At 44.4% G+C, this 26,614-nt stretch overlaps 1 long non-coding RNA gene and 1 pseudogene across 1 annotated transcript; both read right to left on the minus strand.

The window, feature by feature from the left end:
* Nucleotides 7,774–10,566, minus strand: TSPY12P (testis specific protein Y-linked 12, pseudogene; annotated as a pseudogene).
* On the minus strand, nt 20,330–22,220 carry TTTY16 (testis expressed transcript, Y-linked 16). The gene is made up of 2 exons (NR_001552.1): nt 22,160–22,220; nt 20,330–20,460 (listed from the first exon to the last, which is right to left on the minus strand). It is a non-coding gene; the product is annotated as a testis expressed transcript, Y-linked 16 (long non-coding RNA).
* Between the last annotated feature and the right edge of the window lie 4,394 nt (nt 22,221–26,614).

The raw sequence follows: 26,614 nt of genomic DNA on the forward strand, positions 1-26,614 counted from the left end.
GCATGCTACTTGGGGCTGACATCAGAGATGGAGGTGGTGGCCAAGGAGGAGGCCAATGTGGAGTGGTAGCAGGAGGACGAGCAGACATATCCTGGCCCTGGCCCTGGTACACCCCGGCCGGCAACGGAATTGCTGGACGTCCTTCACCTGGAGCTGGGCTCCGTGAATGCCACAGGCCACAGGGCATCCCCCGTTTCTGGGCCAGAGCCATATCCTTGAAGCTGCCAATTCAGGATGGCTGGCAGCAGTGGGTGGGCACCGAGCTCCCGGGAGCAGGGTTGGGGGAAACATGGTGGTCGGCACTGGGGGTCAGCCAGGATTCAGGACATGGGGGACAATGAGGGGAACAGAGGACAGGCTCATGCAGATAGAAGGGCAGCTTAATTGCAGGTGCCTTCAGGGCACATGGTAGGGACAGGAAGCCAAGCACAGCACTCACAAAGGTGAAGAGCAGCGCAAAGGACGGTTCATAAACGGCAGAAAGTTGAAGGACATGTTTCACTGGGAAAGTTCCTGGAGGAAAGGGAGTCTTCATGCCCATGACAGCCATGGAACTACCCCCGCACCCTGTGCCTATGTCCAGCAGACTCACCCCAGAAACACAAGGTGCTCAAGACTGGGGTTCACAATGTACTGGGCTGCCATGTCTTCTTCAAGGCAGTCACCAGCTCCCCAGACATGATTTCTTCCCTATGCCAGCACTGCTCCCGAAGATGTTTAGGCCCTGAGCATATATAACCTCTGTTGAAAACACTTGAGCCCCATGGGGAGAGCCAGGCACAGCTCTGCAGCCACTTCTACATACAGCTGTTCCATCACGTGGACGCGCCCATCCCTCAGGGAGACCAGGAGAAGGGCAGACCACACACCCAGACAGCAGCAGAGCCTGTCCAGCACCCAGCACAAGAGGGCCTCCTGCAGCTCAGGAGCCCTGAGCAAGTAGCCATCTCACCCCACAACACCCTACCCCTGACCCCCTGCCCACTTCTTCTGTGCCCACCCTTGGTAAGAGCAGGCTGTTTGGGCCTGCCTCCATTCGCCAATAAGACCACCATAGCCGTGACAGTGCCGCGCACACCAGACAGAAACAGAGGACCTGGAAGTGAAGGTGCCAGGCCAAAGGCCTGGGGAATACCCTGCCCCACACTCTCCATGCTCTTGCAAAGTTGCAGCGTGTCTCCTTACACACCCACTCAATCATCTAGTGGCTCCTTGACCAGAGGCAGATTGTGTGGCACACCCAAGCTGGCCGGGATCACAAATGATGATGAAGTCCTTCTAAGCTACATGATGGATTTGCAGGTCAGGTTAAGGAAACTGGGTCTGTGGGAGGGTTCCAATGTCTGGGTCATGTTGAGGTTCCCTTGGGGCCTGGAGGTGTCTCAGCAGGATTGCTGGGAAGGGGAAATGCATGCTTTACCCCAGCTAGCAGGTCACCTCAGCCTGGCTACATGAAATGGTCCTTTAAGTCCATCCTTTTTCTCCTTCTTGGCCAGGTAGGGGAAGGAAGTCACCCATCCCAGGTACCGGCAGCAGGATGAAGTTTTCTTTTCATCACAAACTATATTTCCACAATGACGTGATCATTCAGGAGTTGGCATCTTCAGTAAGGAGTGTCTCCCAGTGTGGTAGAGGAGGTTGTGTGTGGGTGGGTAGGTCTGGCATGAGCCTTCCTGACTCCTCTCTCTCCAGGACACAGGATGTCTCATTCCCTGCAGTCTAGTGGTCGTGGGATCATGAAGGTCAAGCCTCCAGCTGTAGGCAGTACAGCTCCTACCTGAGCTTCTTCAGCTGGTTGGCTGACCATGACTGCCCAGGTTCTAGCAGGATTACTGAGGTGGGAGCCGAGGTAGGGCATCACGGGAAAGGATCTTGCTGCTCATTCCTTGGCCTCTGGGGAATTGGCTTTGAGCCATGACCTGAACTAACCTGTACCCACTTCTGCAGTCCGGCAGATCATCAGCCAGGGCCTGTGGCTCAATCTCTTGCAGTACTTCCGGAGAGAGGGAGGCTATTAGAGAGCGAACAGAGAGCAGGCCCGGTGAGAAGTCTAGGGCTGGGGATTGAGAGAGGCCTTTGATTCCTGAAGTTGTACCCCACAGGGAGAACCTGAGCCTCAGGAAGGCGACTGCAGTGAGCAATCCCAGGCCATCCATGGGCTGGCAGAGAAATGGCCATCAGGAAACTATAACACCACATTTCAGGATTAGGGATCCTTAAGCTGCCTAAGAGGCATAAGTGTCTAAGATCAGTGGGTGAGAAGCGAGGCTCAAGGAGTAGCTGTCTCATCATCCCTTGATGGCTCCCCTCCCTGTCCTGAGGCTAGCTACCACTTAGGGCTCAGTTTGGGCTCAGCAAGGGCCCTCTCAGCCTCCAAGCAGATGTCCTGCAGAGGCCTGCGTCTACGTCCTCCGAGAATGGCTCTCCCAGGCCCATCATTTTCTGTTACGATGACCCTGGGTTTCCCTGACATGCTTTCTCCCCTCTGCCATCCTCATTCACTCAGGCCCTGCCTACCCCCAGAAAAGACATGCCAATGCACAGGGAATCTGGATGACCACACAGGGCTTACAGGGGAGGAAATGTGAACAGATGGTAAAATGGAAGGGGACCTTCTGTGTGTGTCCAGGAAGGCAATCTGGCTGGGCATTAAGGCACACCTCACTATTGGTGAGGACACCCAGTGTCTCTTTGTCCAGAGAATGTGCACACAAACACACATATTGTCTAAATGGGATTGACATCAGTACTACCTAGTGATCTACAGATTCCATACAATGCCTGTAAAAATATCAATGACCCACTCTTCACAGAAAACCAATCTGAGAATCCTAAATTTGCTATGAAATGGCAGAAGATCCTGAAGACCCAGGGCAATCCAGTAAAAAGCACAAAGCTGGAGGCATCACACTACCTAACTTCACAATCTACTACAAAGTTTTATGTACCAAAATAGAACAGCACTGGCAGAAAAACAGAGACCTGAGCTAATGAAAAACAACAGAGGCCCAGAACTAAGTCACTGCATTAGTAGCTCATGACCTTTTCCCAAAGAAGCAAGAACACACAATGCAAAATCAAGTATCTTCTATAAACTAGGTTGGGGAAAACCTAAATATCCACATGAAGGATCTTAAAAGTAGATTATTTCTCACCAAACTCCATTATCAGACCTGAAACAATAGAAATACCAAAAGAAATCACAAAGAAGAAGCTCCATGACATCAGTGTGGGCAATGATGGTATCAAAGTGACTGCAAGAGCACAGTAAATACCATCAAAAATAGAGAATGTCATTATATCAAACTAAAGTGCTTCAGCACACCACAGGAAACTAAACAGAGGGAAGGGACATCCTACAAGATGGGTGAAATTATTGGATCACCATAGAGCTGTTAATGGGTGAATATTTACTGTACATGAGGAATTCCAACAACTCAATAGCATGAAAACAAATGGGCTAAAGATGTGAATACTTTTTGTGAAACAAAGACATACAGCTGCCCAGAAGACACATTAAAAAGCACTCATCATCCTTAATACATTAGGAGAATGCAAATCAAAACCACAATGAGATTTCATCTCACTTCAGTCAGAATGCCTATTATCCAAAAGATTTTAAAAAAGCTCATTTCTGGTAAGCATGCAGAGAAAAGGAAATTCTTGCACACTTTTGGTGAGAATGTAAATTATGGCAGGCATGGCAAGAAGCTTTAAGGCTTTTATTTAAGTAGAAAGAGGCTTCACAAATCTACAAGTAGAACCACCCACCATATGATCCAGCAAATCGGAATACCGAGGAATACCCACAAATACACAAAACAGTATGTTGAAGCGGTGCATGCACCGATGCAATTTTTGCTGCACTATTTACATTTTTGCTGTAGCCAAAATACAGAAGCAATCTGAGTATCCCTCAGTTGATGAGTGGATAACAAATGGGGCACATATGCCCAATGGAAAAATGGGCTGCTATAACAAAGAAGGAAATCCTGCCAGTTGTGACAATGCTTGTGAATCTGGTGAATGTGTGCATGCCATTTTGTTAAGTGACATAAGCCAGGTATCAGAAAGGCAAATAGCACATGACCTCATTCCTATATGAAATCTAAAAAGCAGACCTCACAGAGGTAGTGACTCCAACGGCTGGGGTGGTGTTTAGTGAAGAGGGTGCTGAGGAGATGTCGGATCAAGAATTCATATTTCTAGTTAGAATGGAGGAATAGGTTAAAAACCTTTTCTAAAGCATGCTGACTATAACTAGTGATAACACATTCTTTCTCTAAAAAATTCTAAGAGAGTTCATGTGAAGTTTTATCACCACAAAAATAACAAGTATATGAGGTCATGCATGTGTTGATTAGCTGGATGTATCCAGTGCATAACATACATGACCTTTTGAACATCACCCTATAAGTTATACATATGTATCATTTCATATGTCAATTTAAAAAATAAACATACAATTTTTAAAATTCCTTAAGAGAATCAATGTTGATAAACTATTTTATTATAAAGAAGTGCTTTTCTTTTCTACCTGTATCAATGTCTTTTTCATGACACAGGACAGAATGCAACGTAGTTTGGTAAGTTAAAAAATATATATAAAAATAAAAATAAATCCCAATGTAGATGATCAATGAAAGATAGAAATCACAGGTCCATAGACTATATAGTACATGAACGGAAACCTTCACTGCATGTTTCAAAAGAAGACGTGAGCAGGCAGAAGGAAAAAGCAAAAAACTCAAAAAGCCATTCCAGGGCCCTGGGTCACACCTGTAATCCCAACACTTTCAGAGGCTGAGGTGGGAGGATTGCCTACACTCAGGAGTTCCAACCCAGCCTGGGGCAACAAGGGCCCACGTCTAAAAAGTAATTAATTAGTTAATTAATATGTCGCTGGGAGGGGTGGCATGCATCTGTAGTGCCAGCTATGTGAGAGTCTGAGTTGAGAGGATCACATGGGAGTGGGGTGTCCAGGCTGCAGTGGGCTGAGATCCTGGTGCTGCTCTCCAACCTAGGAGACAGAGTAAGACCCATTCTCAGAAAACAAACAAAAATAAGAGTCACATTATGCAAATTAAAACAATGTAGTGTGAGGAGAATCAAAATAAACAAAGCATCATCAAAGGCTATATGATCCAATGAAAGAAACCAGCTTTCACATAATAACAGCCAAAGATGGGGAGAACAATGAGAAAGGGCAGAGAGAACATGTAAATAATAATTCACCAAACTCCCCAAATGAGTTAAAAGACATGAATGTACAAAGAGTACTTCCTTTGGCTTCCAAACCCTTAATAATAATTGTCTTTTCCTGAATCCCTGACATGCATTCAGCTCACCTGAACCTCTTGGTGAGGTTCTGAGACCATGATCTGCCCTTTTTTCTGTACACTCTCACTTTGTTATTTCACATCACTTATCTGTAGCAGGTCATAACGAATCATGATTCTTTGACATTGTTGACACAATGAAGAACTCAGATATGAGTTCAATAAACAATAGTTTATGACATGTCATGAAAAAATGCTGTATACATGATGCTTGTTAAAAGAATAATACCAAATAAAAATGTAGGAAGAAGTACATTTTCTTCATTTCATCATTGAGCTTGTGTTTACGAAACACTTTATCTGTGATCTATAGCTGCCTCCTGGAAAATGATCTGACAGAGTCTTTTGAAAGTTCCCATTCCACTTTGGAGACCACAGGCATAACCCACTTTTTCACTTTTCCACCTATTGGATATACTTAGTGGGATGAGTAGGATCCATGTGACTTTTCGCTTTGCTGTAATGCCCAGTTATTTTTTTTTTAACACTGTCTTTGCTAGATAAGGCTGAAATAAATGGTTCATTATGGCTCACAAAAAGAATTCATCTCCTTCAGCTGACATTCTTTATAAGAGGAATTTCATCCAGCCATGAAAACAATAATCTGATGCCACTGCTGACAGATTCAGAATTACAAACTAAATTCAGATAGAGGATTGGAAGATAGATGATGCAGATGGAGAGAGGGGGTTGGGGAAGGAAGGGAAGGATGAAAGGAGGGGTGTAAGGGAAGGAAAGGAAATAAGGAAGGGAGAGAGAGTGATAGGTTTTCAAAGACACAGATACAAAGTCTAGCATGGTTGTAGAGATAGGCGTGTACAAATTAACACAGGCAGTGTGGAAACATATCGGACAGACAGAGACATAGGTGGAGTCAGAGAAAAGATACAAACCCACACAGAGAAATAAACATACACAAATACAGAGACACACTTGGCAGTTTAAACATTAAAAAACACCAAGACCCTGAAACTAGAAATGACAGAGGTGTTTCAGAGTTACTGAGACAGAATGCAAGTTCGTCAGTGACCTTAGCATCTGTGCCCCATGTGCATGGATATTCAGTGGAAGAAGCATTGGACAGACTGTACGATTCAGCACGATCTCTGATAATACCTAAACAATGGAGCTTATGTTAAATCACTAGACTGAACTGCATGTAGGATTCGAGGAAGAAGCCCAGTCAGCCATGTTCGCTCGGTGGGGTTGACAATATGGCTGAGCCACCAGCCCATGGCATGTCCATCCACTGTGGACAGTTGCTGGTTTGCTGCCTGCCTTGGGAAAAGCTCTTCCTGTACCACCATTTTAAAACAGCCTAGCTCCAAAACTAGCCCTGGCATTGACTTACAGTCTTTTCCTTATCATTTATCTCCTAGAAAAATTATTGCAAGATCCTTTCCTCAACTTTTTCCTATGCATTAAATTTGGGGCAAGACGTTTTCACATGACCTGATTACAGGCAAGTGCCCAGACATTTCCCAATCTGAGTAGCCCTGAGTGCAGACACCAATCTGCTTCTCCACTCAGACTCTTTACATTATTAACCTTATGCAAAGTATGCTGAAAAGGCCACAGAAAGTAAAAGGGCCCTGGGCTCCAGAAACAGTCTGCAGTTGCAATCATTGGGGAGACTAGATCCTCATGATGGTTTACATGAGCACAAAATGCATTTCTAATGCTGTTAGCTACATACATTATTGAACTAAAGATGTAAACATCAACAACAGTGTCCATATCCTGGGTTATCATGTGACAGAGAGTCCATGCGTCGATCCCCCTGCAATCTTAAATTCCACAAATCCACCCCCTTTCCCCTGACTTCTGTATGTCTGTGTTTTCCCTTAGTCACCTATGACAGAAAAAAAGAGGTGTATCCTGAACGCCTTCCCACATGCCTCTGTAACCTTTTCCACAGTCCCTCCATAAACCTTACATGCCCATTTCTTCTCACATTGATGGGACCCCTCGTACTGAGAGACTGATTGTCCCAGAAAAGGATTATGCATTCACCTTTAAAAAGAGAACATGTGAGAAAGTGAACTTTAAGATTTGCATCATCTTGTGCTATCTTAGTGTGTCTGATGATGCCCAAAATGAAGGATTTTGGAGGTACCTTATCCCAGCAAACTGGGCCCTGGATATCTTAGTGCCCATTAACCCCTTTCCTTGAAATACCTCTGCTTCCATAAGAAGTAGCCTATCTTCTCTTTCTTTTACCTCCCCAACTCTGTCTTGTAGGAAGAATACCAAAACATTCCACACTCATTCACTCTACAACTTTAGAGGCCCAGCTCCAACATAGACTGGTCATTTCCATGAAGAGAATGAAACATATGGATTGACCTATTCATTATGACACCTGAATCCAGGGGATGAACACACACACACACACACACACACACACACACACACACACACACAGAGTCACATATCTTTAATAGTGTTTATTTTTCATTCCATACAATCCAAGTTTATCCCCTTTTCCTGTCTGCATTTTTTGTGACTGGGTCTGTTTTTCCTTTAGTTCCTGTGCATAAGACCATGCTGAGTACTGAAATCCTGCATACCATAGTAACTTATTAGGAGTTGTGCTGTTTTAGTTAAAGTCTGATGCTCCATCACATTCAACTCAAAATCTGGATGTCCCCTAGAGAAAAACAACCATATGTCAAAATGCACTTCTTCTGAGCCATACTTTAAAATGTTTTAATTTTAGGGCCTGCCTAGAAAAGACTATCCCTTCCCCATTTGTGATCTCTTAAACTTCCTCCTACCATGTGTTACAAACTGTTATCTGCAATATCTGCCACATTCCCAGTATTCTCTGTGATGGGAGTCAGCTAACAAGATGCATTGTACACTAAAAGCAGACAGAAATATGTTGAGGCAATAGCTTAAGAAAATCCATTAATCTAAACAGTCTTGTGGTTTGCGGCAAGGATGACAAGGAGGCACATTCAGGGAGCCCAATCTTAAGGGGTTGGTAGGATGACTGCCAGTGGGGTTGATGGCCACGGAATCAAGTGCCACACATTGAAGTTAATTATTCAGCTTTACTTCTCAGTGAGTCTGGACATGTACTATGCTTCCCCGGGCTTTAGACTCCACAGCTATAACCTGCTTTGCAGTCCAGTGTCTAATGTGGCTTTTTCAGCCCAATGGCCTGAATGTTCTGGATTTTGTCACTCTCTGTCTTCCTATCAAGGAATTTCTACTTGTATGAAGGGAGCCTCAACTTCTACATTTCTGAAATGAGCCCCCAGGCTCCCTAAATAGGGAGGTGTGTCAGACCCCTCATAGTGGCAATCAAACAGCTCCAATTACAACTGAATGGCTCACCTGAAATCTCTCTTCCCTCTTCAGATGGCTTTATCCTTATGTAGTATTGCAGGGGATTGCACCACAGTTCCTTACATAGGATCTATCAGGGGAATCAATAGGGAAAGGCCTCATCAGGGCTCAGAATGGTGACCCAAGCAACTGGGAACACACCGGGGTCATCCTGATGTTTCCCAGCGAGGACCCACCTCAGCAATCCTATTAGATCCTGTGAAGTTGTGGTCAGAAAACCAGTTGAATAAGTTAAGGCCGCTGTTGTAGTGTCTGTGGCCACAGGCCTCCACTTCATAATCCTCATACCACTGAATTGGAGTGGAATGAGAAGCCCTGTATTTTACAAAGACATGATTTTGTGGGAAGGGGGCTGGATCACATTGGCAATGATCCACCCACCATCTTCCTTCCACTACCTATCTTGGGAGCCACCTGTACCTGTGACGTTCACGAGATATTCCTCGGTAATCACTTTATTCTGGAAGTAGGGGGCGTCAGAAAGAACAACATGATCTTGCAGAGATGAACAGGATGCTTCACTTCTTCCACCTGTCAGGACAATGTGGAGGAAGCTTAAATACCTTTTTGGGTGAGGTGCCCACTGTTGCTTACAGGAATGAATTATTTCCCTTGCCCTTCCCACTCTACTCTCTAACCTCAGTCTTCCCGGCCTCAACTACAAGTTGATCATGTAGCTCAGCCTGTCTTCATCTTAGTCAGTGATCAGTGATGACATCTGGGGGTGGTTCGCAATCTGACTTAGGTCAAAGAGACTTTAGATGTGATGGGAGGTAAAGCTAGAAGCAACAGGGAAGAAGGCCTAAGAGTACCCAGAGGCGGAGGTAGGAGGTAGGGGATTTCTCAGATTTGCTTCCACATATGACCTCCGTTTCTCCTCTCCCTCCCCCTGAATTAAGTCCTGCTGGGTTCACGGAGGGTGTGTAATTCTGAGGCTAACTGCATTGACATGGAGAGGGGCGATTTGCAGAGAGGTGCTGGTGTCTGAGGAGTGGTAGAATCTGCTTATACCTGAAGACGCCCAGTCCCAGATTGGATTGGCAAGGGGGAGCAATCACATTTCCTTAAAAATAGCTTGATTCACAGAAAAACCTATTCTGGTCTGAACTCGCTTCTGCTCTTCAAAAAGATGCCGCAAATATCTGCTGCTAGGCATCACGAAGGGTTTCATTGCCACATGCAGGAAAACAGTACCCACGTCTGCTCTGGCTTTCCATGGTCACATTTGTCCATGGCAACTCACCGTTGGTCCCCAAATAGTCACGTCGACACAGAGCTGCCTGTATGTTACTTACACTTCCCCAAGAGCACCTCTCAACTAGAAAGGCAGAAGAAACACTGAAAAGGAATCACCATTGGCCCAGAAGCCAGGGATGCTCTGAATGATGTCGCCTCTCCGGCCCAGGTGGGACTTGCACCTCTCCTCCATCTTTTCCCTCTGCTGAGAAAACGCCTTCTTAGCTCGGGCATTAACCGGCTCCAGCTCCACCTGAACAGCCAGCAGCTCCTCCAGTGTAGATTCTGGAGTCATAGGCCCAGGGCCAGGCTGTGCCTACTGGTCCTCCTCCTACCACTCCACGTCGGCCTCCTCCTGGGCCACCACCTTCACCTCCGCCATTATGTCATCCGCCACCTGCACCACCTCCTCCTCCAAGGCAGCCTCCTCGCTCAGCGCCCCGGGCGCCCCCTCCTGTAGAGCCTCCATCCTGAAGACGGTACCCTTCTTCGAACTCCCACAGACCAACACCTATGCTGCCCGACCCACGCGACAAGAACCCTGCAGCTACCTTTATTGAACCCCTTGGGTCAGCAGGCCCTCAGGGGGCATGCGCCGGGCTTCCAGGCGCCCCCTAACAGATTGCATGCAAAGGGCACCGGGAGCCACTCCAAGACTGCCTGTCTCCGCAGCACGGCCAATCAGTGCCAGGGCGGTGGGTGTCTCCCTGGGTGGCCTCACTCGAGGCTGGCCTGCAGTCCCAGTCTCCCGGGGTAAGCCTCCTCCGAGAAGCTCTCAGAGCTTGTGCCAGGTAGCGCTGCATCCAGGCACATGCGGGCTGAGTGGCCTTTGGAATTGTGGGCATGGAAGCCATGTGCCCTAAATGACATCCTGGGCGTGGCAAGCCATTGACCCACAGGGAACACATGAAACCTCTCACTTCATTAGGCAGGCCAGGTAGATAGTATGGAATAGTGCACATCCAGAGAACTCTCTCTGGCTGCTGGGGCAAGGGCAGGGGGAGTGGCCGGAGGAAAGTGGGTCAGGGCGGGCGCGTGGGAGGAAAGTTGCCTGCTTGTGCTGAGGTTGAATTCGTCTGCTCCAGAGGCCAGAACCCGGGCAAACACTCTCGCAGGTCTAGGCAAATACAGGCTCCGCATACAATGCTTCCTCCCTGAGGATGCTGTATTCCAAGAAGCATTCCAAAGGGCCTCTCATCCTATGCCCTGGGCATACCAGAGGCCAGCCAGCAGGGTTGGCCATAGACGGCCTGCGTGCACGCTATTGTGCACTGCCTTGCCAACCCATAGGCTCCTGCAAGTGCAGCAGCGGCTGTGGTGCCTGTTGGTGGGGCTCTACAAGCCCAGGGCCTCTGCCTCCAGCTCCTGATCTCCTGTGTGGAGTTGACACTGCTGGGGACCTGAGTCCCAGGGTGAGTGAGGCGATCTGCGGGGGCAAGCAGGGGCTCATCAGGAAACCTGGGTCCACATGGGTGTGGGAATATGTTCTTAGCAGCTTGAGGCCTGTGGGTCTTTTGGGGAGCGGGCCTCCTGGGGAACGGCCCCCAGGGCCTAGGGGTGCTGAGGATGGGCTGGGCTGCACAGGCCGGGGTCTGTGGGAGCATCCAGGAGGGCACCATGTTCAGGCTGGAGGCTCTGCTGGACAGGACAGACGGGGCACAGAGCAAGGAAGTAGCCTTGGAAGAGGAGGCGGTGCTGACGGTGGAAGTCATAATGATTGATGTGGAGGTGGTGGTTGAGGAGGAGACCGACATGGAGTGGCAGAAGATAGACGAGTGGGCACAGCCTGGCCCTGGACCCAGCACAACTGGGCCGTCAATGGACTCACTGGAGGTCCATCACTTGGAGCTGGGCTCCTTGAATACCCTATGCCACAGGGCATCTCCAGCTTCTGGGCCAGAGCCATATCCTTGAGGCTGCCCCTTTGGGATGGCTGGCAGCTGCGGATGGGCATCAGGCTTCAGGGGGGGAATGGGGGCTGAGTCGGGGGAGAAACCAGGAGGGAGGCACATGGGGTCAGCCAGGAGGCAGGGGATAGGGGACAGGGTGGGAGCTGAGGCCAGGTTCCTGCAGATATGAGGCCAGCTTGCTTGTGGGAACCCTGGGACCGCATAGTAAGGACGGGGAGCCAGGCACAGCACTCACAAGGGAGAATCACGGTGCCAAGGTCCCTTCAGGCACAGCACAAAGTTGAAGGGCAAGTTTCCCTGGGAAATTCCCTGGAGGATGAGGAGTCTGCATGCCATTGCCAGCCATTGAACCACCCCTGCTCTCAGTGCCTGTTTCCAACAGCCTCACCCCAGAAACAAGGTGCTTAAGACGGCTTCGCGGTGCATGGGGCTGCTGACCTCCACAAGGCAGGCACCAGCTACCCAGATACACTTTCTTCCCCTTGAGGTGCTGCACCCAAAGGGGTGTAGGCCCTGAGCATATATAACCTCCTTTGCACCCATGCAATTCCCATGGGAAGCACCAGGCAAAACCCTACAGACCCTTCTATCTACAAGGCTTCCCTTAAGTGGACAGAACCACCCCTCAGGGAGACCAGGATAAGAGGACACCACACACCTGGACATCTGCAGAGCGTGTCCAGCACCCAGCACACAAGGGCCTCCTGCAGCTCATGAACCCAGAGGAATCAGCTGCCTCACACCACACTGCCCCCCGCCCCTTCAGCTGCAACCACCTGTCCACTTTTTCTGCCTCCTGTCTCTGGTCAGCCCAGGACATCTTGGCCGGGGTCCACCCCCCGAAAAAACCACCACAGTTGTGGCATTGCCTCCTTGCCAGACAGAGACAGAGGACCAAAAAAGGACGATGGCAGGCCAAATGTCTGGGAGATAACCCTGCTCCACATTCTCTGTGCTCTTTCAAAGTTTCAGGGTGTCATGAGGCTTGCCCACCCAATCAACTGGAGGCTCTTTGACCAAAGGTATATTGTTTGGCACACCCAGATCCTGTGTGAGAAACCATGATGAAGTCCTGTTTTGGTACATGATGGATTTTTAAGTCAGGCTGGGGAGCTTGGGTCTGTGGGAGGGGTCTGGTATCTGAAGCAGTTTGAGGTCCCCTGGGGCCCGGGGATGTCTCAGTGGCAGAGCTACGAAGGGGAAACTCATGCTTCACTCCAGCTAGCAGGCCACCTCAGCCCAGCTAGATGAAATGGTGCCATTGAGTCTGTCTACTTTATCCTTCTTGGTCAGGCAGGTGAGGGAACTCAGCCATCCCAGTTACTGGCAGCAGGATGAAGATTTCCTTTCGTCACAACCTTTACTTTCATAATGAAGTGATAATTAAGGAGTACTACCATTGGTATCCTCGGTAAGGAGTACCTCCCAGCATGGTAGGGGAGCTGGTGTGTGAGAGGGTCAGCCTGGCATGAACCTTCCTGACTCCTCTCCCTCCAGGGTACAGGGTGTCTCATTCCACTGCAGTCCAGTGGTTCTGGGATCATGAGGGTCAAGCCTCCAGCTGCAGGCAGAACATCACCTACCTGAGCTTGTTCAGCTGTTTGGCTGAACATGAGTGCCTGGGTTTTCGCAGGATTGCTGAGGTGGGAGTCGCGGTGAGGGCTGCGGTGGGGCATCATGGGAAAGGACCTCACTGGTCATTCCTTGGCTTCTGGGGAATTGGCTTTGAGCCATGACCTGACCTTTCCTGGACGACCTTCTGCAGTCCCCCAGATCATCAGCCAGGGCCTATGTCTCAATCCGTTGCAGTACTGCCCCAGGGAGAGAGGGATGGTATTAGAGAGGGAAACAGAGAGGAGGGCAGGTGAGCAGCCTAGGGCTAGGATCTGAGAGTCCTTTGAGTCCTGGATCTGTGCCCCACACAGAGAATCCAAAGATCATGGAGGAGACTGCAGTGAGCAATCCCAGGCCATTTATGGTTTGAGAGAGAAAGGCCCATTAGGGAACTGCAACACCCACATTTCAGGATTGGGGAACCCTAATCCACCTACAATGCATATGTGGCTAAGGTCAGTGGGTGAGAAGCAAGGCTTAAGGGATAGCTGTCTTATCATCACTTGCCAGCTCCTTCCCCTGCCCTGAGGCTTGCTACCACCTGGGTCTCAGATTGAGCTCAACCAGGGTGCTCTCTCTCTCCACACAGATGTCCACAGGAGGCCCGTCTAGGTCTACATCCTTTCAGAATGTTTCTCCCAGGCCTGTCATGTTGTGTTTTGATGAAGCCGGGCTCCCCTGACATGCATTCTCATCTCTGCCATCCTCATCCCCACTGCCCTGCCTTCCCAGATGAGACAGGCCACTGCACAGGGAATCTGGAGGACCACACTAAGCTCCAGTGTGAGGAAATGTTCTATTTTCTTCATGCACATGTATTTTAGAGTTTCCTCCAGGGGAGGAAATGTGAAGAGATTGCAAAATGGCTGGGGACCTTCAGTGTGTGTCCAGGGAGGGAACCTGGCTGGGAATTAAGGCCCACCTGAGTAATGGTATGGACATCCAGTGTCAGTTATCTTGATGAAGACCTGCTTTCTTACATCACCTACTATTAGTATAAAAGTTAATTCCTTAGAATATTGAAAAAACAAATCTGTGTATGAGGAAATATAATTTGTTCATAATTGTATGGAAAAAACTGCTGACTGATCCATTTTCCATTACAATTCTTATGTGAGACTTGAAGAGTTTATCAAGTTTTAAAAAGCATTTTTATTGTTCTACTCCTGGCAATTTTTATGATCATTTTTTCAATACAGGGACATAGATTCTAGAAAGTTTTTGAGGGACTTTCAGCTTCTTTAGAGTACTTACTTGTAAATTTTGATTTTTTTTCCTTGTGGTTCTTTTCAATTTACTATTTATATTTTATATGTGAGGTTTTAAATTTGTTTTCTTATTTGCCCCTTCTGGAACTTTTAAAGGATTTTTTTTTTCTGTTAGATATGTGCATTTGGCTGTGAGTACTTTCTCTACTACAGATTTTTTTTGTTGCTGTTTGTTAGTTTTTGGGGTGTGTGATTGTTTGTTTACTGGTTTTGAGATGCAATCTTGCTCTGTCACCCAGGCTGACATGAAATGGCACGATCTTAGCTCACTGCCACCTCTATCTTCGAGCTTCAAGCAATTCCCCTGCCTCAGACTTCCGAGGAACTGGGAATACAGGCACATGCCACCATGTCCAGCTAATTTTTGTATTTTTAATTGAGACTAGGTTTCACTGTATTTGCCCAGCTCATCTCACACTCCTGACCTCAACTGGTCTGCTCTCATTGGCCTCCCAGAATGCTGGGATTACAGGTATGAGCCACCACAGCCGGCCTCATTTGTTTGTTTATGTATTTTAATCATTGTTCTATTTTCTTCATGTACACATCTTTTAGAATTATTGAAATAAAATGTTTTATTTGCTTACTCAATACTTTAGTAGGTTTTTAAAACTAATTTTTCATTCACTAAATACGGTATTGTGTATAAGTTAAACTTGCATAGTATTGTCATTCTATCTTTTACTCAAGAACTCTGATACTGTTTTTCTCCCATCTGAGGAGAACATGCACATAGTTATAAAAAATTGTGTGAATGGGTAAGTATGAAAATATAATTTGAAAGAATAGTAAAGTTCACAAATACAATTTCACATTTGTATTTTGCATCATTTTGAAAATTTTAGTTGCTGACACATGAAATTCTATAATCACCTTCATGTTAAATGTATACTTTTGAATCAATTTCAACAATGAGAAAAATCCAAGGCCAAACGTTAGTTCAGGAAGTAGAAAGCAGTTGTTCTGTAGAAAAAAACATATTTATTGAAGGTATATTTAGAGAGATTTTAGAAGGCTTAAGTCAATATTTTTGTTTTTGTTGCTCTGGTGTTTTATCATACTGTGACCAGACTGTAGCATCAGTAGTTATAGTTACTAGGCTACCAAAGTCTCAGGGCTGCAGTAATTATTGAGGAAAGTGGCAGTGTGGTTGGCTGTTTAAGGAGACTATAGGACTTAGGAGTTTCCACCCAAAGCACAATGGCCTGGTTTGGTGGGTGGCCTTCTTTTGCTGAAGTAGATAAAATCCAGGAGAAGTGTGGACTCATTGTAGTAGGTAGGGCTTTGAGACTGGTGAAGCCTATTTGTCTCCAACTGCCATTGCCAGTATTGGTCTGCAGATAATGTCACTTCCTGGACACACTGACTCCTGTAAATTAAAATATATAATTTGGATTTAAATCCCTGTTCCAACTTCTTAAACTTAGATCTAATAAGTGTGTAATAAAATATGTATACAGAACAAAGGGAGACATCAGATAAGTACATAAGTAAAGCATCCTGATCAAATACCTTCAAAAATATTACTACAAAAATCACTGAAGGTTAAACCTTAAAAAGTTATTTTAATTGGGGAAGTAGAAAAAGGTTGGACTTGTTTAAAACTCTGAGGTGTAAAGATACTATTATTAGAATATGGAAATTATATAAAATATCTGATTTGTTTGAAGAGCAGCATACTAGCTATTTAGTATGACTAGAGATTAATTACCCATGTAAGAAAACTCAGAGATTAACAACAATTTTTTTCAGAGATTTTGTTCTGTAGTTAAAGACTTTTAAAATGGTTTCTTACTGATCAGTGATTCACGTATATTTATCATTTAGTCATACGCTGTATACCCTTTTATATAGGGATGAAGTTATAGTTTCTATCATGTAGATAGAAAAACATGTGACTGTGTACCACATTTGCATTAGAGTCTTTGGCCTGAGTAATGAAGCAAACAATGGAACTATGTCAGGTTACAGGTGGGCACAGCTGGAAGCTTCCATCACTTGCATCTTTAACATTTCTGGATTCTCATCAGTCTCTCCTAGAAAGACAAATGGACTATAACTATCCTAAAGAACATATGTTACATTTAAACACCAAGTATTGAGATAAGATCATGATGTCTTATCAATGCCTCATCATTACTTTAAATTTATATGTATAACTTATACAAAGAAATTCAGTTTATCACCATTAACATTTTACACGACACATTTATCTATTTCATTCTCTTTCTAGTGACTTTTTTTTGAGATGGATTTTCACTCTGTCACTCAGTCTGGAATGCAGTGGCCTGATCTCAGCTCACTGCAACCTCTGCCTCTTGGGTTCAAGCAATTCTCCTGCCTCAGCCTCCTGAGTAGCTGGGATTACAGGCACACACCACCACTCCTGGTTAATTTTGTATTTTTAGTAGAGATGGGGTTTCCCTATGTTGGTCAGACTGTTCTCAAACTTCTGACTTCAGGTGATTCACCAGCCTCAGCCTCCCAAAGTGCTGGGATTACAGGCGTTAGCCACCATGCCTGGCCCCTCTTTTTTTTGAGGCAAGTTCTTGCTTGGTCACCCAGACTGGAGTGCATTGGCACAATCTTCACACACTGTAGCCTCAACCTCCCAGGCTCAAGCTATTTTCCTGTCTCAGCCTCCCATATATCTGGGACTACATGTGTGCAACACCACACCAGGCTATTTGTTGTTGTTGTTTAGTCATGAAATCTTGCTATATTGCCAAGTGGGTATCACATTCCTGGGCCCAAAGGGTTCTCCTAGTTCAAGCTCCCAAAGTGCTGGAAGTACAGGAGTGAGCCACTGAGGACAGCATCACCACTCTTTAATCATTTTTTAAATGCCACTCTTCAAAATTAACAAGTAAAGTTTTACTTATGAAATTCCAAATTCCAAGTCAAGTTCAGCCTCACTTTTATAAAGAGGTAAAAATACAACAAAACAAAAAAACCTTCTTTTTCTTTTGTTTTGAAGTTAGCAAACAGTTAGAAAGCAACTCATCTCTACTTTGGATTACAAAATTGACTGTACAGAGAAATATCCTCATCTAATTGTTTTCAGATCAAAAATCCCGTGAAGTTATCATCAGAACCATCATCTTATGAAACAAAAACAAATCTCCTACTGGGTCTTTTATGTAGATTAAATATGTTATAATTAGTCATGTATACAATTGTGATTACAGTTATTCCTTAAACCATAATATTAAAAATATGAACCTCATTTTTTTTTAACTGCTACCCCAATAAGAAAACTAACTGCTGATGTGGTATAATAATTTGTGGCCCAGAGAGCCAGCATTCTGAATTATTCAGGTTCTTCACATACCCTAAGGGTACTAAGAGCCGAATGGTAGTCTGGACATCTTGGAGGAGTAGCAATGTCAGGTCATTTCTTGCTGCCCCTCTCACCAGCCAGGGGTTCTACTGCAACTCATGCAGTAGAATGGTAGACAACTTCACAACTCTCAGTGGTACCACAGGGTGCGTCAGGCCAATAATCACAGCAGTGTCTTCAGGATTCCTGTGTACATAGGCAAAGGTTTATTATAGTACATTCATTAGAAAACCTGAACCTTAAACCTACATCAGGCTTTCCAGCATATTTCTTTAGTCATGATACACAAGGTCCCTAGCTCATCTTCAGAGAAATCAGAAATCTATGAATAAAGAGTCCACAGACAACGGGATTGTAGAGGAATTAACTAACAGCGGTAATAATAAGCCAAACACAGTGAGACAATTTCTTATTAGTCTAAAACAAAAATGTTATCTGTATAAGGGAGATAGTCATGGATTACAGAAGCGAATTTGGACAGAGAAACCTTCAGCAATGTAATTATGGGATAATGCATCACAGGGTAAGGGAAGAGGCACTCACAAGTGTACATGTTCCTGACACAGTGGGCAGCTGTGAGAACCCACAAGCTGCTAACTATGGAACCACTGCAGATCTGTCTGCCACAGCTGATGATCCCAGCCTGCCATGGCATGGCATATCACAGAGAAATCTGATCTGCTAAATCTGAGGAGAAAAATCAGCTAACTGTGTTAATTTGAACAGAATTGCCATCTGTAGACCATTTTTTTAAGTTTTAAATCACTCCTATTTGTGCTAACCAAGTCAGCATTGTTAAATATGACTAGCAAAGACAAACTTCTACCTCTACTGTGTTTATGCATTTTTCTTGAAAAAAAGTGTTCCTCTTAATACCTTTTGAAGTTCATAGTTTCTTTTTGTTCTAGCTTAAGTTGCTTTAATCAAAATATTGGGAGGCATTCCAGCTTTCTCCCCCATTGAAACATTTATATAGCTATTATTTTAGCTCCTTAGAAGTCATTGAAGTAGATAGGCAACAAAAAATACAATGATTTGAAGATATTAGGTAAATAATGTAAAATTTGGAGATAAGGCACCTGTCTCTAAATTGGAGGGGCTTATCTTCCTAAACTTATAATCTTAGTGAGATATCAAACAAATAGTTTAAATAGAAAATTCAAATTTGAGGTTCAGGAAAGAGCTCATACTTTTAAAATTATTTTAGAGTTCCTCAGAAAACTGAGTTGAAGCAATGTTCATTAATATATACAGAGAGATAAAAATGATGAAGATAACCTGTCTATAGAAGAGGTAAGGAAATATAGATAAAATTAGAAGCATAACTAAGATATTAAGTTTAGTTGTATTTGAATTAGTCTTTGGAGGATGTGAGCAAATAATTATGGCCTCCTTTATATTCTAAATGTAGCTATGGCAATAGGTGGTAGCTACAAAAATAGCTGTGGTTAAGTGCACATTTAATAGATGAGACCAAAAGAGATCCCTCAATTTTCAAGGAAATAAGTGGAAGTACAGCAATATGAAACAACCATTGCTAATATCGTAATAGGTTTTCTGATAGCCAAGGGAAGGGGGAAACTGATAATCTCAATGTAATGCAGTCTAATACACCAGCACCTAAAACTCATTACTTACCAACTACTATGCTGTTTCCAAACATCATAATATATTTAACTTAAAATATACTTAATTTAAAATAACTCTATTACAAATATAAGGTACTGTGTGGTAGTAAAGAAATGTTTTTGTGTTAGGAGAATGTGTCTTAATGTTAGCCCTATTCATCTTCTGCCACGGGAACTTGATCAATCCATTCTACATAACTAGTGTCAGAATACGCATTTAAGATAACTATAATAATCATGTTACATAATCTACATCATAGAGTAATCTATAGGGATACTATGGAAATTGAATCATATATCAAGTATGAAATGCCTTTGTAAGCCATAAGGAAAATAATTTCTATGATTTGGTAGATAAAAAACTCACGCATTTCTCAGGAAGAGCTTTCTCTCCCCTCTCCTTCCCTCTATTCTTTTCTATTTCCATTCTCTTCTTCCTTTACTTCTCCTACCAAGTTTTTGAGACTTACTCTGAGGCTGTGGCAGAGAGATGTAGTGTGGCCGAATGGAATTGGGAGTGGAGGTAAAAGCTGAGGCATTTGTAGAGGTAGAGACTGAAAGGGACATGGAAGCAGAGGCAGTCACGGGCCCTTGGTGGTGCCAGGATGCATGGCTAGGCCATGTCACTTCCTGGAGCCAGAAAAGGAAAGGGTGCACTTGGCTGAAGACATAGGGCTTTGTGCAATGCTCCTCAAAGTGACTCAAGATTCCCACTTGCACCCAAGTGTCTTTTTGCTATAGATGGCACAACAAAGGTGCTCCCAGGTCACTCTGCAAGAAACAAGAGACAAGATATAATCAGTATTTTGAAGGAGGGCCAGAAGTAACTTTTGGTGTTCAAGATATTCTTTTTCTCCCTGGCATTCACATTCCATGAATTTGTTACCTTACAGCCAGGCTCCCACATAGCTTTCTTGACCTCCATAAAAAAAGTGAGTTCACTCAGCTTGGGGCCAAATTGGGCACAAGAGCTGACTAGTAGTATGCTCAGTTGCCTTTTTTTTTTTTTTTTTTTTTTTTTGCAGAATTCCAGGACTTCCTGATGGAAAACAGAGAAGAAGCCGGGCGCGGTATCTCACGCCTTGTAATCCCAGCACTTTGGAAGGCTGAGGCGGGCGGATCACGAGGTCAGGAGATCGAGACCATCCTGACTAACACGGTGAAACCCCGTCTCTACTAAAAATACAAAAAAAATTAGCCGGGCGTGGTGGCGGGCGCCTGTAGTCCCAGCTACTGGAGAGGCTGAGGCAGGAGAATGGTGTGAACCCGGCAGGTGGAGCTTGTAGTGAGCGGAGGGCGGAGGTTGCGCCACCCCACTCACACCTGCACGACAGAGCGACAAAACAAAAACAAAAACAAAAACAACAAAAAAAAAACAAAAACAAAAGAAGTGTTTGTGTTTGTTTTCAAATCAAATTTAGCCTAGATTAGAGGAAGAAGTATGGTGAAGAGAAAGACAATTTTTTTATTATTCAAGAGAGGATACTATTCTCTTTCCAAATATGCTTCTCTTCCATCCCAGTGTCTTCTTCTTTACTCCCCCCTCATAAGGGACCAAATAGGTAGCCAACAGTCATATAGTTGTATAAATTTCTCCTGTTCGAGACTTTCCTAAGGGCATAGAGGAAGGACCAGGGTTTGAAAATGTAGTGGCTGCTTCAGGAAGATCAACCCAGGTCCTAGAGGTGCCTTCGGACCTAGGTAGGGTATGACATGTTCAATGCTGACAGTCTGAGCTTGGGCAGAATCTAGAAGATGATTATGCCCCAGTTGGACCAGGGACAGGGCTCCTGAAATTTTTCTGGGGAACCAAAATCAGGGAAAATTCTATTATTTCCACATTTCAATTTGAATAAAACCTGGAGGTGAATCAGATGAAGACCAGGTAAGCACTAAAGTACAAATACTACTTTAGAAACTATTTTCGAGGATCATTTGAGACCAGGTGGGCAACATGGTAAGACTTTATTTCTGTGGAAAATAATAAAAAAGTTAGCCAGATGCAGTGATGCATGCCTGTGGTCCCATGTACTCAGGAGGCAGAGGTGGAAGAATCCCTTATCTTGGTAGTTTGAGGCTACTGTGAATCATGCCACTGCACTCCAGCTTGGGCAAAAGAGCAAGACCCTGTCTCTATCACTCTCTCTCTGTCTCTCTCTCACACACAGACACACAGACACACATACACACACACACAAAGAGAAAGATATTCATTAACCATATCAATGTTGTGATTGCTCTATAATGATATCTTAATCTTGAAATGAATTATTTAGACTTATGTAAAATTGGCACATCTAACTGTGGTAATGATCCACTGTTCATTTAGTATGGAGCCAGCACAGAAATGGGAGAAAGACAGTTGAAACTGGCACATCTAGCTGTGGTAAGGATCCACTGTTCATTTAGTATGGAGCCACCATAGAAATGGAGAAAGACAGCTGCACAGTAACTATCCAACAGAATTCACCAATTTCTGACTCCCAGCCGTTGGGAAACATGAGGACATGGCCAGGGCATAATCCACACTCTGCAGAAGGAATAAACCTGTGGAATAGAGTGAGATTAGTATTACTACTCTCCCATTTCTGAAATCTAATTTTAGGTTTTTAGAAATATGCTTGGAAATTCAGTATCTTCAATTCTGAGAAAATACATGGAAATATACATCATCCTACAATTTTAGATATACTACAGTTGTTATCTACATACTTACCCTTCAAATAATATATATATGTATATATGCAGTTATGATATATATATATATCTTATTATTTATATCCAAGATAATATACTATTATCCAATAGTGTGTGTATATATTCATATACGTCAAGTGGAATAATAAACTATTTCTAAGAAGTAAGACTATCTTTAAAATACTGTTCTCTGAATAGAATTGTGTTTATAAAACATAGCTCATAAATCCTATTTGGCAAAAATAAGATATTCTTCAATATTTAGACATCTCTGCTGATTCATACAATAACCTAAATTTCAGTCTTCCGAACTTCTGAGAACATAACCTCTGATGTTACAAATTCTGGTTTTAGGGTTCAACAAGAGTCTTCGTAGCAAGTATATTAACTCAAACATATGACTAGAGTAAAGGTGCCTGTGGTTTCATGAGAAATAACAGCTGTCTCGAAGAGCCAGAAAGCCTGGAAACTTTCTTTCCAGATCACAGATAGTTGACACTCAATCAGGGAAACGTTGAGTTCTGCATGCCTAAGAGGTTGTTGTCCAGGCTTGGGTCCAGATTGAGATCCAGGCATCAGGAGAGGTTGTTTTGTTAAAAGTGTGGCTGGAGCAGCATGCAAGGATGAAAAAGAAGGAGAAAGAATGGACTCTTCAGTAAATGTTGAGGAAGATATTTTCTGAAGAGAATTAGCAGAAGAGGCTATGGATAGGACAATAGAAGAGGAGACCAGAGGAGAGGAGAAAAAAATGGAGCAAGGTGGGAAAATGCAGAATGAAGGGAATGTACAAAAATAAAAGACTGAACAAGAAGGGCACAGTGTTCACGGAGATTGAAGTGAACAAGAAAGAAAAAGGAGAAAGAAAAAGAGATAAGAGAGGTACATGGGACATCAGGGTTTTCTTTTATCTGGATAATTTTTAATTTCCTGCCATAGTGCTGGTAAACAACTCTTCCAGGAAGCCAAATGCTTGTAAGCTGGCTTGGGTGGACAGAATTGATTTTTATCTTGGCTTTCTGTGGCAGTTATCTCAGTTAACAAAACTATAATATACTAATCTGGGAAAGGCACAGTTTTTACTGGCAAAAAAGGGTACATGTTTGGACAATGAGCCAAAATGACTGATTAATAGTGTTTCTCCATTAGGCTCAATTTCAGGAGGAGAAAATGATGCAATTATATCAGCCTTATAGTGGGTTCTGGGACTTAGTATTTCTGTTTCAGGCTGGATGCAGGTTCTCACTTTGCCAGCTTCAAAAACAGCAAAGGATTCAATAATATCAGCTTCAGACTGGATCCAGTGTGTGTCTGCTTTGGTTACAGGCAGTATCCAAGATATGAGTGTTCTTCCTGTAAGCAAGGTCCATCTTTTTACTACTGGAGATAGAACCTTGGGCCAGAAACTTAGTAGGAAGGTTTCAGACTGCATAAAAGGGTGAATTATGTCAACTTCTGTCTGCATCCAGGGACTGACTATTTGAGATTTTGAATAAGCTCATGATCTGCCTTTATTTATTGTAATGTAAAACAAAGATCTGACTACATCAGTTTTCTGCTTGATCCAGGATCTCACTGCTTGGGTTTCAGGTGGGTCCAGGTTTGAAATGTAGCAGCTCTTTGCTGAGTCCAGGGCCAAAATATACCAACTTCAGTCTGGGGCCAGGGAGAGAGTGGCTGATTTTCAGGATGAATCCAGGGTCTAACTGTATCACATTGAGTCTGTAAGCAAGATGTGACTGTATCAATTTCACTCATGTTTCAGGGTTTTATTCCTTGGCTTACAGTCCAAGTTTGGAATACTTCAGTTTCAGGTTGGTTCCAAACTAACATCATCAAATAGGTTAAAGCATAAAAATAACAGGCCAAGAGGAAAAAGGTTTAAATCTCTGAGAAATAAATAAAACTCACAAACCTACTGGAAACCAATCTGCATATTGAGGAAAAGTTTCTGAATAAATGTTCATCTTTCCTGTACTAGCTTGTTAACTCATAAATTTGACCTTTTTTGAATTAAAGAGAGAACTGTGTCCCTATTTTAGTTTGTAACATTGTCTTCCCCTGCAAACACTTCATATAGTATCCATTCACTTCATTTCCACATCAAGATCACAGTTAGCTTCAAAGGCTGAAGAAGGACACATCATTGGGGTAGTTTGCCTTCACCCATGTCATTCAATCACACATGACCACAGACATCTGGTGAGAGTGGCATCTGTACTGTGGTTCTTAAAATGGAGTAAGCCTCAGAATCTCCCACAGGGTTTGCTAAAATGCAGACTGCCAGGCCTCACCCTCAGAGGGTTCAGCAGATCTGGAGCAGGCCCCAAGAATCTGCATTTCTAACAACTTCCCACATGATGGTGATGCTACCGGTCCTGGAGTCATACTAATTTTCAAGAACCATTCTATAAATGATTTTGGATCACTGCCATCATGTCATCTGTTTTGACAAACCACAGAGCCCTAACTTAACAGCTATTTTAATATACAGACAGCAGGAATTTTACACACATCCCGATGGCCTGCCAATCACTCAGCACGGGCACATGTTTTGGGTGCAGCCATGCATCGCTGCAGTTAAAGCCAAATGTTACAGAGCAAACTGAATGCTGGCTGCTCAGTCCTTCAGATCCTCAACTCTTGGCATTTCATATTTCACCACCATCTGGAGCCTTCACTCTACCACACATGATGGGGCACGTGACTTGCTAGGCTTACAGTTGAGGAAGGGCAGGGTCCTAAGAAATGACAGGACCTGCCCATGCTTGCTTGGCATCTTGCTCTGAGCCTTATTTCCTCTGCATCCCATATCTAGTTAGGAGCATGGACGCTGGAGAGACCAGGGGCACCATGGTGACACAGGAGTAACTGGTGGAGCTGACCTCACACCAGGTTGTCACCTCGTTCCTTACTTCCCTCAGGACTTCTAGCCCCTATGCTAACCAGCCCTGGATGCTGTGATTTTCCATCTCCTGCTTCTGACTCCTCCAGCTCTTCTGGGTACTCCATTGCTAACACACTTGCAATCAGTTATTTCCCATCCCTGTTCAGATTCAGGCATGCCCCAAACAGCCTTGCTCCCCAATTCACGCATGCTAGGAACCACTGCAGCTTCAAAGCTGAGTATAAGTGTCCTATGGGCGCATCCAACTTACTCCTAACCTCATCTTCACCTCAAAAAACAGGCAAGGGACTGCCTCAAGGCTGCAGATCTAGCAGGCACAAAGGTGTGGCAAGCACTGACTGTCTAGAGGATCCCAGTGCCCCACACTCCTCACAAGGTTGTATCCACCTCTGTCTTGCCTTGGCCTGGAGAGCCCGGTATGGCAGAGGCCCTCACAGCAATGCCAATCCTGTGTTCTTCCCAGGTGTTCAGAAATCAGTTGTCCATATCCATGGCAGGGTGCAGTGGCTCACGCCTATAATCCCAGCACTTCGAGAGGCCAAGGCAGGCAGATAACTTGAGGTCAGGAGTTTGAGACCAGCTTGGCCAACATGATGAAACCCTGTCTTTATAAAAATACAAAAATTAGCCAGGTGTGGTGGTGGGTGCCTGTAGTCCCAGCTACTCTGGAGGCTGAGGCAGAAGAATCCCTTGAACCTGGGATTGAACCTGGGAGGCAGAGTTTGCACTAAGCCGAGAATGCACCACTGCTCTTCAGCCTGGGCAACAGAGTGAGACAAGATCTCCAAAAAAAAAAAAAAAAAAAAAAGAAAAGAAAAAAGAAAAAGAAATTACATTTAACATTAGGTATATTTCCTAATGCTATCCCTCCCCCCTCCCCCCACCCCACAACAGGCCCCAGGGTGTGATGTTCCCCTTCTTGTGTCCATGTGTTCTCATTATTCAATTCCCACCTATGTGTGAGAACATGCAGTGTTTGGTTTCTTGTCCTTGCGACAGTTTGCTGAGAATGATGGTTTCCAGCTTCATCCATGTCCCTACAAAGGACATGAACTCATCATTTTTTATGGCTGCACAGTTTTCCATGGTATATATGTGCCACATTTTCTTAATCCAGTCTATCATTGTTGGACATTTGGGTTGATTGCAAGTCTTTGCTATTGTGACTAGTGCAGCAATAAACATATGTGTGCATGTGTCTTTATAGTAGCATGATTTATAATCCCTTGGGTATATACCCAGTAATGGGATGGCTGGGCCAAATGGTATTTCTAGTTCTAGATCCCTGAGGAATCACCACACTGACTTCCACAATGGTTGAAC

The sequence above is a fragment of the Homo sapiens genome, chromosome Y (genome assembly GCF_000001405.40).
Source record: "Homo sapiens chromosome Y, GRCh38.p14 Primary Assembly".
Lineage (NCBI taxonomy): Eukaryota > Metazoa > Chordata > Mammalia > Primates > Hominidae > Homo > Homo sapiens.